The 15640-nt window shown below is 43.4% G+C and overlaps 1 protein-coding gene across 11 annotated transcripts in view; it reads right to left on the reverse strand.

The window, feature by feature from the left end:
* The window catches only part of ZFP64 (ZFP64 zinc finger protein), a 107769-nt gene that overhangs the window by 72787 nt on the left and 19342 nt on the right, over positions 1 to 15640 (reverse strand). For 7 of the 11 annotated variants that reach the window (XM_017027945.3, NM_199427.3, NM_199426.2 and 4 more), the window contains 3 exons: positions 9067 to 9228; positions 7898 to 7960; positions 3326 to 3577 (listed from right to left, as the gene is read on the reverse strand). In XM_017027945.3, the coding sequence (XP_016883434.1) occupies positions 3326 to 3577; positions 7898 to 7960; positions 9067 to 9228 (477 nt within the window). The remainder of the gene's footprint in view (positions 1 to 3325; positions 3578 to 7897; positions 7961 to 9066; positions 9229 to 15640) is intronic. The other 4 variants (XM_047440285.1, XM_017027947.3, XM_017027946.3 and 1 more) reach the window with 1 other exon arrangement.

A 15640-nucleotide genomic window follows, 5' to 3' on the forward strand; every position in this document is an offset into this window, starting at 1 on the left:
AAGACTGTCACTCGTGGTAGCTTAGAAGACAGAAAATGTACATCATGAGTTTTGGACTTGAATAAAGAGATAAATTCTAGGCAGAACAGTGAAAGTGTTTTATAAGCTGCATATGATAAAAGACTACAAGAAAGAGACAAACTCAAAAAAAGAACTGGACATTTTGTAAGCAGAATTTAGAGGGAATATAGAAAGTCAAAGATTACTGGATATAGTTTCTCATCTCCAGCCAGCTTCTCCAGCCAGCTTTCCCAAGTAAGACAAAAGCCTGGGACAAAGACCATATCTAAGAAACTAGTCTCAGAGTGAAGACCAAATGTGAAATAAGGGGTCTGAATGTAAGACTCTTTATTAAAATCTCCAAAAGAGAATTAAGAATGGTGAGAATTAAGTTGGTGCCAAGTATGTTCTCTCAGCTGGACAAAGGACTCCTAAAACCCACAGAAGGTTAAATGCCAAAAGTGCCTATAATTGAGTTTAGAAAAAGAGGCAAGATTCCAAAAGAACTGTGGGTATGGCTTTTGGCATATGGATACATAGGAAACTCACACAGTTTTTAAAGACAGCTCTACCAGCAAAACTGTCACCAGCCTTACTAAAACAAAAGGTAAAAGACCTCCAGCTTTTGGTAGACAGGAAGCAAGCTGAGAAAGTTTCTCAAAGGTACATTTTGCAATCTTTTTCAGAAGTAGCTTAGGAAAGTGATGGAAAGGATGTTCCAATGGGCAGGGTTAAGAACCAAAGAGCTGAGCCAAGGCCTAACCAAGAAACATTCCCTAACCCCTGAGTAGGGGGAACCTGTGCCCAGAAGAATTTCAGAAATGCTATGGACCAGGGACTGACAAATGCCTCCCGTTCTTCTATACTACTTTCTTTCTTTTTTAAAATTATACTTTAAGTTCTGGGATACATGTGCAGAACGTGCAGGTTTGTTACACAGGTACACACGTGCCATGGTGGTTTGCTGACCCATCAACCCGTCATCTACATTAGGTATTTCTCCTAATGCTATCCCTCCCCTAGCCTCCCACCCCTTGACAGGCCCCAGTGTGTGATGTTCCCCTCCCTGTGTCCACATGTTCTCATTGTTCAACTCCCACTTATGAGTGAGAACATGTAGTGTTTGGTTTTCTGTTCCTGTGTTAGTTTGCTAAGAATGATGGTTTCCAGCTTCATCCATGTCCCTGCAAAGGACATGAACTCAACCTTTTTTATGGCTGCACAGTATTCCACAGTGTATATGTGCCACATTTTCTTTATCCAGTCTATCATTGATGGGCATTTGGGTTGGTTCCAAGTCTTTGCTATTGTGAATACTGCTGCAATAAACATATGTGTGCATGTGTCTTACACTACTTTCAAATGGTAGAATTATGGTAATTATTTTGGCTTTTTGTTTTACACTGTATATTGGGTGTATCATGACAGACAACTTGTCTTTTATTTCAACCGTCTCTAGATGAAGAGAAACCATATCCAGACCCAAGGGAGATCACGCAATTGTGGTCTTTAAGGCTGATCCTATGATTGGATGAGACTTGTTAATGCATTTTGCCTGTCAGAGAGATGTGAATGACGGTGGGGATAAAGGCGGACTGTGGTTGTTTGCAAAAATGGTCCCAATTCAGCCCAGCGCGGTGGCTAACACCTGTAATCCTAGCACTTTGGGAGGTTGAGGCGGGTGGATTGCCTGAGCTCAGGAGTTCGAGACCAGGCTGGGCAACATGGTGAAATCCCATCTCTACTAAAATACAAAAAATTAGCCAGGCATGGCAGTGTGAGCCTGTAATCCCAGCTACTCAGGAGGCTGAGGCAGGAGAATCACTTGAACCCAGGAGGCAGAGGTTGCAGTGAGCTGAGATCACGCCACTGCACTCCAGCCTGGGCAACAGAGTGAGACTCCATCTCAAAAAAGAAAGAAAGAAAGAAAAAGTCCCAATTCTTCACCTTCCCTGCATCCCCGACCTTTGCCATGTAACACTGTGATGACCTCTCACTGTCAGTGAGCTCAGTCCCGCCCTTGACACCAGGATGAAACATGTGACTTGCTTTAGCCAATGTGATGCTTGACAACTTATAGAAGCAAAGAGTTGAAATGGGCTTACACTGGGGCTTGCTTGCTTGCACCTCTGCCATCCTCATGAGAAGGACAAGCCTGGGTTAGTCCATGGTCCCAGGAGGAAGATGAGAGATGCACAGAACAGAACCAGATTGCCTCAGCCAAGGCCAGTGGACAGCCAGCCAGCCCATGGCCAGCAGATCCCCAGGGAAATCTGAAAGGCACCCAGCCTTCCCCACACATGTGGTTAAGCCAAGCCAAGATCAACAGAGTTGTCCAGTCAACTTCCTGCTGACCTAAAGTATGTTAGCAACAAATGTTTATTATACAACACTGAGATTTCATGGTTGTTACTGCAGCATGACTGAATCATTATCTAACTGATACACCGAAAGAAAAAAGTATGTAATTTATTGAGTTACCTACTCTGCTAATTTTGCTGTATGTTTTTTGGTCAAGCTGTTCCATGCTGAACTAGAGTATGCTTCAAAAATGATTGGAATGCCTAACCATAATGCAGAATTTATCAAAGATACATGGCTTATACGTGTATTTCATTTCATGCATCTCCTCAATTACACACTTTACAACTGAATAAGTTACAAAGTTATAGAAAGAGATATACATATGTATAAAGTTATAAACTTCATGATTTTCCCCTATTTTACTGAGAAAGGCTCTTCAAGGCAGCTGAAAAGCAAAACTGCAAATGGGCCAGGCACGGTGGCTCACGCCTGTAATCCCAGCACTTTGGGAGGCTGAGGTGGGCAGACCACTTGAGGTCAGGAGTTCAAGACCAGCCTGACCAATATGGCAAAACCCCACCTCTACTAAAATTAGAAAAAGTTAGCTGGGTGTGGTACAACATACCTGTAATCCCAGCACTTTGGGAGGCTGAGGTGGACAGACCACTTGAGGTCAATAGTTCAAGACCAGCCTGACCAATATGGCAAAACCCCATCTCTACTAAAAATACAAAAAATTAGCTGGACGTGGTGCAACATGCTTCTTGGGAGGCTGAGGCACAAGAATTGCTTGAGCCTGGGAGGTGGAGGTTGCAGTGAGCTGAGATAGCGCCACTGCACTCCAGCCAGGGCAACAGAGCGAGACAAAACAACAACAACAAAAAAAAACAAAACTGCAAACAACGGGATGAGCAAAGGTTCCAACTCGATTTCTTACATTGTGGCTGAATGCTTTAAGGTGCTTATGATTTATGCCATAGAAAGTGAGGAGCGTAGAGAGCAAATAACAGGCAGGACTCACCCGTGTGGGATCGCAGGTGGACAGTGAGCTGGCTGGAGTTGCGGCTGGCGTAGGGGCAGATCTGGCATTTGAAGGGCCGCTCGTCCGAGTGGATCCTCAGGTGCTTGTTGAGGCTGCTGCTGTCGGCAGCGGCGTAGTCACACGTCTTACACTTGTAGGGCTTCACGCCCGTGTGGCACCGCATGTGAGTTTTCAGCTTGTCTTTCCGGCTAAAGCACTTGCCACAGACTTCACACTTATGGGGTTTGTCTCCTTCAAACACATACACACACAGATGGCAGCAGGAAACAAGATTAAAAAAGGAAAAGGCTTATTTCCCACTGCCTTACGAAAAAAGTCATATACAACCACCGAAGAATATTCCAAAAACCCTAAAACACTGGGTGGATGATTGGCAAAGAGCTAACATCTTGGGAGAGGGGAAGTTTCTTCCATGTTCCTTATTGGTATTACTTGAATTTTTAAAATGATGAATATGAATTTCTTATAAATTTTTTATAAATTAAAAATAGAAGGCAATTAAAATTTTAAAGTATAGGTACGTAAAATAGTAACAGTTTTGTTAATTTTCCCTTGTATTCACTCTCTCCTTTTTCCTTTTCACAACAGAGATGCACCGTAAAATTTAGAATACCTAAGTTTCAGCAGAGTTCATGGCTCACCAGGGAAAGATTACACTTCTCAGCCTCGCCTGCAGCTAGCTGTGATCTGTGACTAAGTTCCTATCAAAGCGATGGCAGAGAAAGTAAAGTGTGTCTCTTTCACAAGAGGAAACGGCTTGCCTTTTACATTTTCTCTTTTCCTGCTTCTAGCCAAGGCATGGGGATAAGGCAGCAGGTGAGGGCAGGTGAGTGAGTCGGTGAGCGCAGGTGAGTGAGCAGGTGAGGGCAGGTGAGTGAGCAGCTGAGGGTGGCATACCTGCAGATGGTGGAGTCATGTAATAGAATGAGGTGGGAGGAACTTAAGTGCCTGGCTGGTCCCTAGGACAGAGCTGCCCACCTGTCCTAGCCTGCCTGCTCACCTCCGGACAGTTACACGGGACAGATACAAATCCCTATCTTGTTTGAGCTGGTGTTTCAGTTTCATTCTTACAGCAGCTTAATCTGAACCTCACTAATGCTATGTCAACTTGACATCTGTGAACTACTGCTAACTTTTTGATGTATATTTTTCCAATCTCTGTGTGTGTATGTTTTTGGTACATAAAAATTCCTGGCTAACATCAATTTAAATACTTCCTTTTTGAATGGCACTGTGCCTTTGAATTACTTTAGTTAATCCTTGCAACAGCTGGAATTAGAACCCAGGACCGTCTTGTGATTGCTTTCTTTTTTTTTTTTTTTTTTTTTGCCAAATACTGCACTGCCTCCCTATTGACTACTTTCTTGCATGTACGGTAATTTCGATCACCTGTTTCATATCATTACATACCCACAACGCGGTTGTTAAGGCTGAAATATTTCACTGTATGGATGTGCATAAATTACTGAACCCATTCCTTACTTGGCCATGAAAAAGAGTAAGTCGATATGACATACTGATGTGAAATGATGTGCAATAGTAAATGAAAAGAAGCAAGTTGCACTGATAGCGTGTATCATATTAACTTAGTAAGACATGGAAAAATTAAATGTGTGTGTTTTTAGACCTGGTCTAGGCATGCAAATATTTCAGAATGAGACATAGAGGTCTATTAGGAGAGCTGACTTTTGGTCATGGAAGGAGGTGGCTGTGAATCAGGATTTTCTTTTTTTTACTTTATATATCAAATATGTATTTTCACCAAATCGTAACTAGCCAAGTGCTAAAATAGCCAAAGCTGATCACTGTCGTCATAAATAAATATTTGGGATTTAAGAATACATCTAAAAGTTTATTAAAGATCAGCATTTTGGCTGGGCACAGTGGCTGTCACCTGTAATTCCAGCACTTTGGGAGGCCGAGGCAGGCAGATCACTTGAGGTCAGGAGTTCGAGACCAGCCTGGCCAACATGGTGAAACCCTGTCTGAACTAAAAATACAAAAATTAGCTGGGCATCGTGGTGGGCACCTGTAATCCCTGCTACTCGGGAGGCTGAGGCAGGAGAATCACTTGAACTCGGAAGGCGGAGGTTGCAGTGTGCTGAGATTGTGCCACTGCGCTACAGCCTGGGTGACAGAGTGAGACTCCATCTCAAAAGGAAAAAAAAAAATTAGCATTTTTATTATTAAACATTTTAGTAGGCTGGGCGCGGTAGCTCACATCTGTAATCCCAGCACTTTGGGAGGCCGAGGCGGGCGGATCATGAGGTCAGGAGATCAAGACCATCGTGGCTAACACAGTGAAATCCTGTCTCTACCAAAAATACAGAAAAACTAGCCGGGCGTGGTGGCAGGCGCCTGTAGTCCCAGCTACTCGGGAGAATGAGGCAGGAGAATGATATGAACCCGGGAGGCAGAGCTTGCAGTGAACCAAGATCGCGCCACTGCACTCCAGCCTGGGTGACAGAGCGAGACTCTGTCTCAAAAAAACAAAACAAAAACAAAAACACAAACAAACAAAAATTTTAGTCATCAAATTTAAAAATCCAGGAACAATAATTTACCAGCATTGTCAGTGGCTCAGTAGTTCCTGCGGTCACTACACTGTGTATTTGCAACACTGGGCAAATGCTGGATGTTGGCAGAGCTCAGTGGTTTTTGGCCAGCTCTGCTGGTAAAGAGCCCTGTTGCTGTGGTTCCCCCAAACCCCAACTCCAGGGGTAATTAAGCATACCCCCACTCTCTGAAGGTAACTAAGGTGAGGATACATTTAAACTTGAAAATGTAGACAGAGACCGCAGAAACTATCCTCCAAACACAAGGTAGGCTAACTGTAGAAGATATTTTCTGCGGATTTGCAGAAATAGACAAAGCTGTGGCCCTCACTTGTACTTTTACAACGCTTTCTCTATCATCATTAATAATTATAGTACTCAGCCAGATGCGGTAGCCCACGCTTGTAATCCCAGCACTTTGGGAGGCCAAGGTGGGTGGATCACCCAACGTCGGGAGTTCGAGACTAGCCTGACCAACATGGAGAAACCTCGTCTCTACTAAAAATACAAAAATTAGCCGGGTGTGTTGGTGCATGCCTGTAATCCCAGCTACTCAGGAGGCTGAGGCAGGAGAATCGCTTGAACCTGGGAGGCAGAAGTTGCGGTGAGCCAAGATTGAACCATTGCACTCCAGCCTGGGCAACAAGAGCGAAACTCCGTCTCAAAAAAACAAAAACCAAAACAAAACAAAAATTATAGTACTTTATTCTTTCAATAATAAATATGCTATGGCTTGATGGATGAAACTTCAATATATGAAACCCACATGGAGAGTTTAATTGCTTATTACACTAGAACGCTTACCAATCAATACTTGAAACTTAATATTTGGATAATTAGAACAAATCCAGATAGCATGACACTGTGAGGCTGATTAGATATGATGGTGACCCCAGTGCAATAAGGCACTTATTGGTTATGGCCAAGGAATGTAAGAAATAACTGTTGGTTACTCATCTTCCAAAGGCTGAGGCTAAATAGCAGGCTTTGGGCAATTAGCGAAGCCAAAGCCAAAACTCCCTGCATCTTATACACATTTATACTTTTAAAATTTAAATCTGTACTATTTGAATACAAGCATATAACACTTGTTAAAAAAAAGTCTGAAGGCAATTCCTTTTCCATGCAGAAAATCTGGGAAACATAAAAATAATATATTAAAGAAAAATAAAATCACCAGAAATCATCACTTTTTTCTTTTCCCATGCATTGATCTTTCTCTCTTCTTTTAAAACAAGTATTTATTAAATTCTCCTTTCTAAATTACAAAAATAACACACACTCACTGTATTCAGTGATATAACATAAAGATACATAAAATGAAAGTTTTGGCCAGGTGCAGTGGCTCACACCTGTAAACCTAGCACTTTGGGAAGGCAAGGTGGGTGGATCGCTTGAGTCCAGGCATTCGAGACCAGCCTGGGCAACATGGTGAGACCCCACTCTCTACAAAAAATACACAACATTAGCCAGGTGTGGTGGCGTCTGCCTGTAGTCCCAGGTATTCTGGAGGCTGAGGTGGGCGGGTCGAGTGCCACCGCACTCCAGCCTGGGCGACAGAGTGAGACCCTGTCTCAAAATATAAAAGAAAAAGACAAAAAAAGAGACAGTTTCTTTTCTCTCCCCTTATTCCTCTCTTTACTAATCATTACACACACACATATGAACTCGTAGGGTCATCTCCTCAAAATGAGAATATGTGCGTTCAAATTTTAATTAATTTTGGCAGAATCATTTTCAAAATGGCTGTAACAGTTCACATTCCCACTTAGCTAAGTTTGCTCACATCCTCTCCAGAGCTGGATTTTATTATGTTAAAGATTTTTCTGCCAAAGTCATGTGTACAAATGGCACCTTATTTTTTAAAATCTGGACTTGTATTCCCATAACAGCCAGTGACGTTTGGAGTGGTATCATTCGTCTGACCTATGTGGATCCCCATCTCCTAGCACAGAGCAGGTGTTGAGGGCATATGCGCTAAAGAAATGCTACTTACCCGTGTGAATTTTTAAATGCCGCTCCATGTCCTTCATGCCATAAGCAGTCTTGAATTGGCAACCTAAAAAAAAAAAGGAAAGATTAATTACAAAGGAAAACTTAGTAACTTTTAGCATGGAGAAAACTGGTAGAAACATCCTTAACCAAGTGACAAGAGTTAACACCACGGTAATGGGAAAAAGAGATCTCATGTGCCTTCATATGTGATGACCGGGAAAAACACACCGTCATTTTGTGGTTCCTGCCAAAACTGCATAACCTGAATCTGATCATAAGGAAACATCAAATAAACCCAAACTGAGGCCCTTTTGACAAAAATCACTGGCCTATACTTTTCAAAAATGTCAAGCTTATGAAAGATAAATGCTTAACTGTTCTTGATTAGAGGAAATGAAAGACATAAAATCTAAATGCAATTAGTGATCACTGGTTGGAGCCTGGATCAGAGGGGAAAAATGTCATTCTTTTGATATTGGTAGAAAGGACATCGGTGGGACACTTGATGACGAAATCTGACTAAGGTCAGTAGGTTAGATAATAGTTCCTATAAATGTTAATTTTCTGATCTTGATGATTGTCCTGTGGTTATTTAAAAGAATATTCTGGTTTTTAGGAAATACACACTGAAGTATTTAGGAATAAAGGGGCATCACATTGTCAGCAACTTTCAAATGGTTTGGGGAAAACTATACTTGTATATATATTTGTATATATACAAAGAATGACAAAGCAAATATAATAAAATGGTAACATTTGGGGAATCTAGATGAAGGGCATACAGGGATTTTTTTGGTACAATTTTTGCAACTTTTCTGTACATCTGAAATTATTTCTGAATAAATTAAAACCAAAGTAAGGAAAGAAAATTCTTACTGGATATCTTCCTAAGCTATAGCATAGGAAAAAAATTTATAGCAACCTGAAATTTTCACGAGTTCCACTTCAAAGGCCTATGGCTAGAAAAGTCTTAGAACCCAGAGGCAGAATGACCACAGACAGTGGGAGATAGGTTGTATGTGCTGATGTAAATGCCAGGGGGCTCTGATTTTTATGCCAGGTAGTTTGGAACACATCCATGAGCAGTTGTCAGGAACTCATGAGGAGGAGCCCTGGAGCCTGGTTAAATATCACACCCTCTACACAAGTAGGACATAATGCTGCCTTTACCTGGATAGCAACAGTTAAGCCTTTTCTGAGCAGGTGGTGTTGTGGGCTTTTTGGTGCGTGACTTGGCAGGGAGAGAGATGACAGTGGCTGTCTGGTTTTCATTACTTTCCGTGGGCAGGTAAGTTTGATAGCCATGTTCAAAAACAAATTCTGGAGCTGAAACTAAAAGATATGGTGATTATTAATTTTCTTAATATAAATGCCCGCTAGCTATGGTGTCTGCCTACTTTCCTTTGTAGAGAGAATGCATGTACTAGTTTGCTTTCCCAGCCTCCCTTGCGGCTTCACAGTGATCATGTGACCCAGTTCTAGCTAATGAGACACTAGAGAGCATCCGCTGGGAGACTTCTGCAAAAGACTTTCCTCCCTGATTTAAAATAGCATGGGGGGGCAGGGTGGGCAGGGCAGATGGTAAAAGAAGCAGTTGAGAAAAGCTCATCTTGCTGCCCTGGCTGCCCTACTTCCTGTCTTTGTATATGCTGGAGTGATGATGTGATGCCTGGATCTGTGGCAGCCATTCTGTAACCATAAGGGTAAACATGGAAATCAGATGCTGAGTCAGAGCTCTGAAGCCACCCAAATCTATACTTTTTTCTTTTTTTTTTTTCTGAGATAGGGTTTCATTTTGTCACCCAGGCTGGAGTGCAGTGGCATGATCACAGCTCACTGCAGCCTTGACCTTCCAGGCTGGAGCAATCCTCCCACCTTAGCCTCACAAGCAGCTGGGACTATAGGCATGCACCACCATGCCCGGCTAATTTTTGTATTTTTTGTAAAGACTGGGGTCTCGCCATGCTGCGCGGGCTGGTCTCAAACTCCTGAGCTCAAGTGATCTACCTGTCTCTGCCTCCCACATTGTTAACTACCATGCCTGCCCTAGACTTCTTAAATAAACAAGAAATGTCCCTATAATTTATGTCCCTATAATTTATGCCAGGTAAGATTTCTGTTAACTGCAGCCAAATGCATTAAGTGCTTTCATAAGCTATATGACAAAATCCTAATGAAACACCAAAAAGGAACGATAGAAGGGATTTGGGGCAAAATTAGTCTAATTAACATTCTTCTCAGCATAAGTATTTCCCCCCCTCAAAAAATTCCTTGTACTCTTACTGAGGTTCTGAAGCAAAAAGAAAAAAAAAATAGCAAAACACAGACTAAATATAAAATATAATTGTAGGCTGGGCGCTGTGGCTCACAGCTGTAATCCTAGCAGTTTGGGAGGCTGAGGCAGGTGGATCACCTGCGGTCAGGAGTTCGAGACTAGCCTGGTCAACATGGTGAAACCCCATCTCTACTAAAAATACAAAAATTAGCTGGGCATGGTGGCGGGCACCTGAAATCTCAGCTACTCTGGAGGCTGAGGCAAGAGAATTGCTTGAACCTGGGAGGCGGGGGTTGCAGTGAGCCAAGATCGTGCTGTTACACTCCAGCCTGGGCGACAAGAGCAAAACTCTGTCTCAAAAAAAATAAAAAATAAATAAAAATAAGTAAATAATAAATAAAATTGTAAAAGATAAGATAGGCAGTCTCAAATTTTTTTGTTGTAAAAAATTAAGTGACTACTTTGTTAACTACATTTATAGTCTGGGACTTAGGCATGTTTCCTCCCTCCCTTCCTCCCTCCCTTCTTCTCTCCCTCCCTTCCTCCCTCCCTCCCTCTTCCCTTCCCCTCCCTCCTTCTCCTCTTCCCCTTCCCTCCCTCCCTTCTTTCCTTCCTCTCCTCCTCTTTCTTTTTCTGGTTCTTTCTTAGAATGTACTTTGTCATATGAAGATTGGGTTTCAAATAAGAAGTAAATATGACCAATGGAGGCTTGTTCATTGGATGAACCTGTCAGGCTAAGAGGCCCTAATGATGATTTTGAGAGCCGCTGTAATATTCTGTTTCCCAAACTTCAGTCACTCAGACACCACCTTTGACATTTTTGACATTTTATTTACAGATTATTTAAGTCAACACAGGCCTAACATCACTGTTTATTTTAGCTTTGTCCAAAGCACTAATATCCATGCCACAGGCTCCAGGTGCTAGTTTGTTTTCTCTTAAACACTATATTTCTTTGAATCTAAGATGTTTTAGATTGTAAAATGTGTCATAATTTCATATATGATTAAAATGCTGCCAATTAAACACATTATGACAACTCTTTCTTTTTTTAGGTATTTTATTTTATATTTATCGAATGGGCTTTTCCTGACTTCTTTGGACATTTGGCAGGAAACCCAAGTTCCTGATCTCCATCTCTTTGGCACCTTCAGTAGTGATCATATCACTCTGATACACCTCAAATGATACCTTGGTGCTGTCAGCATTTGGTATTTGAGTAAAGCCACAGTTTCCATTTTTCTCAATGGAAATATGTGTAGGGAAGTCAAGGGCTTTGGTTTAAAGTCAGCTGAAAGATTCAGACAAACTGATGTTTCCTGTTATCATGCCAAGTATCTCTGATGCATGAATCAGCTGCACCTGTCTCTTGTTGAAATGTTTTCATTTGCTCTGTGGGATCTGGCTATTTCTCCTGGTTTCTCTCGCTCTGCTTGGTTCTCAAAGCATGGTCCCCAGACAGCAGCATTGGAGCTGCCTGGGAACTTGTTACCAAAGCAAATTTTTTGGGCCCCATCTCAGACCTACTGAATCAGACACTCTGGGGGTGCACCCAACAATCTGTGCTCTAACAAGCCCTCCAGGTGATCCTGATACATGCTCAAGTTTAAGAACCATTAGCAGAGACCATCCTTTTCCACCTATCTTGGCAGTAGAACTTAACCCAGCTCTGTCTATATGAGGAATTCCACCTCTCTCGGTTGTTGCTTTGCAAGAACGTGCAACTGCAGTCACTCCTCCAACACTGAAGATTTGCTTCATTAATATCAGATTTACCCCGTTACGGTTTTCAGGCATTTCTGGGTAAGCAATTACTTTTCATCTTCAACTTGCTTCATCATGCAATATCTTGGAAGACATTTTAAACAGCAATTAAACTCAATACATACAGTTCCAAAATTGCACACAATGCAGCTGAGGTAAGAAAAATGTGACCCACTGAAATCAAGTTTGTTCACATGCACAGCAAGGTAATGTTTTTGGACTGCCTGCTGGTTGACAGAAATCTCACTAATTCTAAAATGCATCGTTGTTTCAGATATGTTAAAATGTGTCTTCAGACTGATATAAGTTCAGGTTTGATCATTCACTATGGATGTGACCTCAGGCCAGTTATGTAACTTCATTGAACTTGTTTTCTCACTATAAATGGGGACAATCACCATGCCCACTTCATAAGGGTGTTGCAAAGTTTAACAAGAGAATTCAGTAGCACAGGATGTGGCCATGGTTGAATCTCAATAAATGTCAACAGGGATATATTACAGTTCAATAGAACCAGACTCTGGCACTTGTGCATCAAACTCTCAACTGAAATGCTCATGAGCTAGGATGATCAACCATCCCTGTTTGCCTTGTAGTGGAGTTTCTCAAGAATTTTGGTGCTAAAACCAGGGTGCTGGGCTATGGTCATACTCCATGGCCTCCCAACCTTCTGCTCTACAACTTCCTGCACAAGTGACCCCCTGTGCTGGAAGGTGTTCACAGTGGGGTGAGTATGGGTGGCCAGGTCCTCCCTACAAGTCAGCTCGCGGGCTCCTCAGCACTCTCTTGAAAGGTAGGTGGTAGGCCCTTCACCCTCCTGCCACTTTCTGCTCTCTCCAGAGATTGGCTGGGCTCCATCTCTTAACTGTCCTCTACCATAAGCCTGGGCAAGTCACAGCAGAGGGAAACACAGGAGTATTTTGGATATCAACCCCTTCTCAGATGTATAATTTGCAAATATTTTCTCATTCCATAGGCTGTATTTTCATTTCTGCTGTTTCCTTTGATGCACACAAGTTTTAAAATTTAACGTAGTCCCAGCTGGGTGCAGTGGCTCACACCTGTAACACCAGCACTTTGGGAGCCCGAGGCAGGCGGATCACCCGAGGTCGGGAGTTTGAGACCAGCCTGACTAACATGAAGAAACCCCATATCGACTAAAAATACAAAATTAGCTGGGCATGGTGGCATATGCCTGTAATCCCAGCTACTTGGGAGGCTGAGGCAGGAGAATCGCTTGAACCTGGGAGGCAGAGGTTACGGTGAGTCCAGATCATGCCATTGCACTCCAGCCTGGGCAACAAGAGCAAAATTCCGTCTCAAAAAAAAAAAATTAATATAGTCCCATTTGTCTGTTTTCACTTTTGTTGCCTGTGCTTTGGTGTCTTGGAGAGGCAGCAGGAAGCATCATGAGTGGGCAGGTTAAACACAGCAAAGGGCCGGGCGTGGTGGCTCATGCCTGTAATCCCAGCACTTTGGGAGCCTGAGGTGGGCGGATCATTTGAGGTCAGGAGTTTGAGACCAGCCTGGCCAACATGGTGAGACCCTGTCTCTACTAAAAACACAAAAATTAGCCAGGCGTGGTGGTGCGCACCTGTAGTCCCAGCTACTCAGGAGGCTGAGGCAGGAGAATCGCTTGGACCCAGGAGACAGAGGTTGCAGTGAGCTGAGATCATGCCACTACACTCCAGTCTGGGTGACAGAGGGAGACTCCATCTCAAGGAAAAAAAAACAAAACCCAACAGCAAAGGGATTCAGGCACCCAGGTGCAGGGATCATTTTGGGGCAGGGCTAATCCCATGTAACCTGCGAGTCATCCCAAAGTAGATGGCTATAGACCAGAAAGGGTTTGCTCCAGAGCTTAGGCTGTGTCTTACCTCCTTGGTCCTCAGTTTCTTTACCTGGAGAATGTGGACAATTTCCATTCCTATCTCCTAGGGCTGCTGTGAGGATCAGAAACCAGGCATGTAAAGCTGCTGTTGCTGTTGACTTTATTCACTAATTTATTCAGCAAATATTTATTAGGTACTGTACTGACTGTGTGCCAGGAACTGTTCTAAGCACTAGAAACAGAGCAGTGACTCAGAGACAAAAATCCCTGCCCTCATGGAGCTGACACTCTAGTTAGGAGTGGTGCATGCAATAAGTATTTAAATATATAGTGTGCAAATCAAGTGGTGTAAATATTACAGAGAAAAATAAAGCAGGGAAGGGAACCAGGAAATGCTGGTGGGCATGCAATTTTAAGTAGGTCCAGGAAGGCCTCAGTGAGAAGGTAACATTTGAATATAAAACATGGAAGCATATAATTATTATATTAATAGTATTCTGTTGCAGGTGTCCAGAATTCAATAGCAACAAAGGGGCATTGGGTGCTGAAGACTCTCATCCAGATGGTCGGCTTGCTGGCGCCTCCTAGCTGGATTTATCAAGGGTATCCCTTCCCACACACGTGGCCTTTCTAGAATCTGCTGTGAACAGCAGGACCTGCAGAGACACCCCAGGGAAAGGCTTATGGTAATCACTGAGGGACTGCTGGCAACCAGAGGCCTCCTCATCCCCTTTGGTTGTTTGCATGTGATTTGATGCCGGAGTCGCCACTCATCCCCAGGGGGTGTGTGTGCATATGTGTATGTGTATGTGTATGTGTCTGTGTATGCGTATGCGTATGTGTATGCGTATGTGTATGTGTATGTGTCTGTGTGTGCGTATGTGTGAGCATGCATGGTCAGACTGACCTTGGACCAATTTGGGTGTTTTATTTCATTTTTTTTTTAGATGGAGTCTCGCTCTGTTGCCCAGGCTGGAGTGCAACGGCGCCATCTTGGCTCACTGCAACCTCCGCCTCCCGGGTTCAAGTGATTCTCCTGCTTCAGCCTCCCTAGTGGCTGGGATTACAGGCACACACCACCACACCTGGCTAATTTTTGTATTTTTAGTAGAGACAGAGTTTCACCATGTTGGCCAGGCTGTTCTCAAACTTCTGACCTAAGGTGATCTGCCTGCCTCGGCCTCCCCAATTTTTTTTTTTTTGAGATGCAGTCTCGCTCTGTCACCCAGGCTGGAGTGCAATGGCGTGATCTCGGCTCATTGCAATCTCTGCCTCCTGGGTTCAAGCGATTCTCCCGCCTCAACCTCCTGAGTAGCTGGGACTACAGGTGCCTGCCACAGTGCCCAGCTAGTTTTTGTATTTTTAGTAGAGATAGAATTGCACCATGTTGGCCAGGCTGGTCTCACACTCCTGCCTCAGGTGATGTGCCCGCCTCGGCCTCCCAAAGTGTTGGGATTACAGGCGTGAGCCACCGCGCCCGACCAACTGGGTGTTTGTATGCAATTTGATGCCAGAGTAGCCACTCATCCCCAGGTGAGTGTATGTGTGTGTGTGTAGTGGACCTTGGACCAACCTGGGTGTGTGCATGTGATTTGATGCTGCAGTCACCACTCATTGCCAGGGGTGTGTGTGTGTGTGTTGGTGTGTGTGTGTGTGTTTGTGTGTGTGTGTGTGTACAGTCAGATTGACCCTGGGCCAACCTCTGTCTCCTCTCACTAGCTATAGGGCCTTGACCAAGTCACTTCTCTGCTCTTCAGTTCTTTTGTCGGTAAAATGGGGATATTGCAGTGATCTCAGAGCTTAGATCTTGTTGTTCTAGTAAAGATTCAAGGGAAGGATAAGGCATACTGCAAGTCGGGCACACTGCAAGTTCT

This window comes from Homo sapiens, chromosome 20, assembly GCF_000001405.40.
Source record: "Homo sapiens chromosome 20, GRCh38.p14 Primary Assembly".
Taxonomy (NCBI): domain Eukaryota; kingdom Metazoa; phylum Chordata; class Mammalia; order Primates; family Hominidae; genus Homo; species Homo sapiens.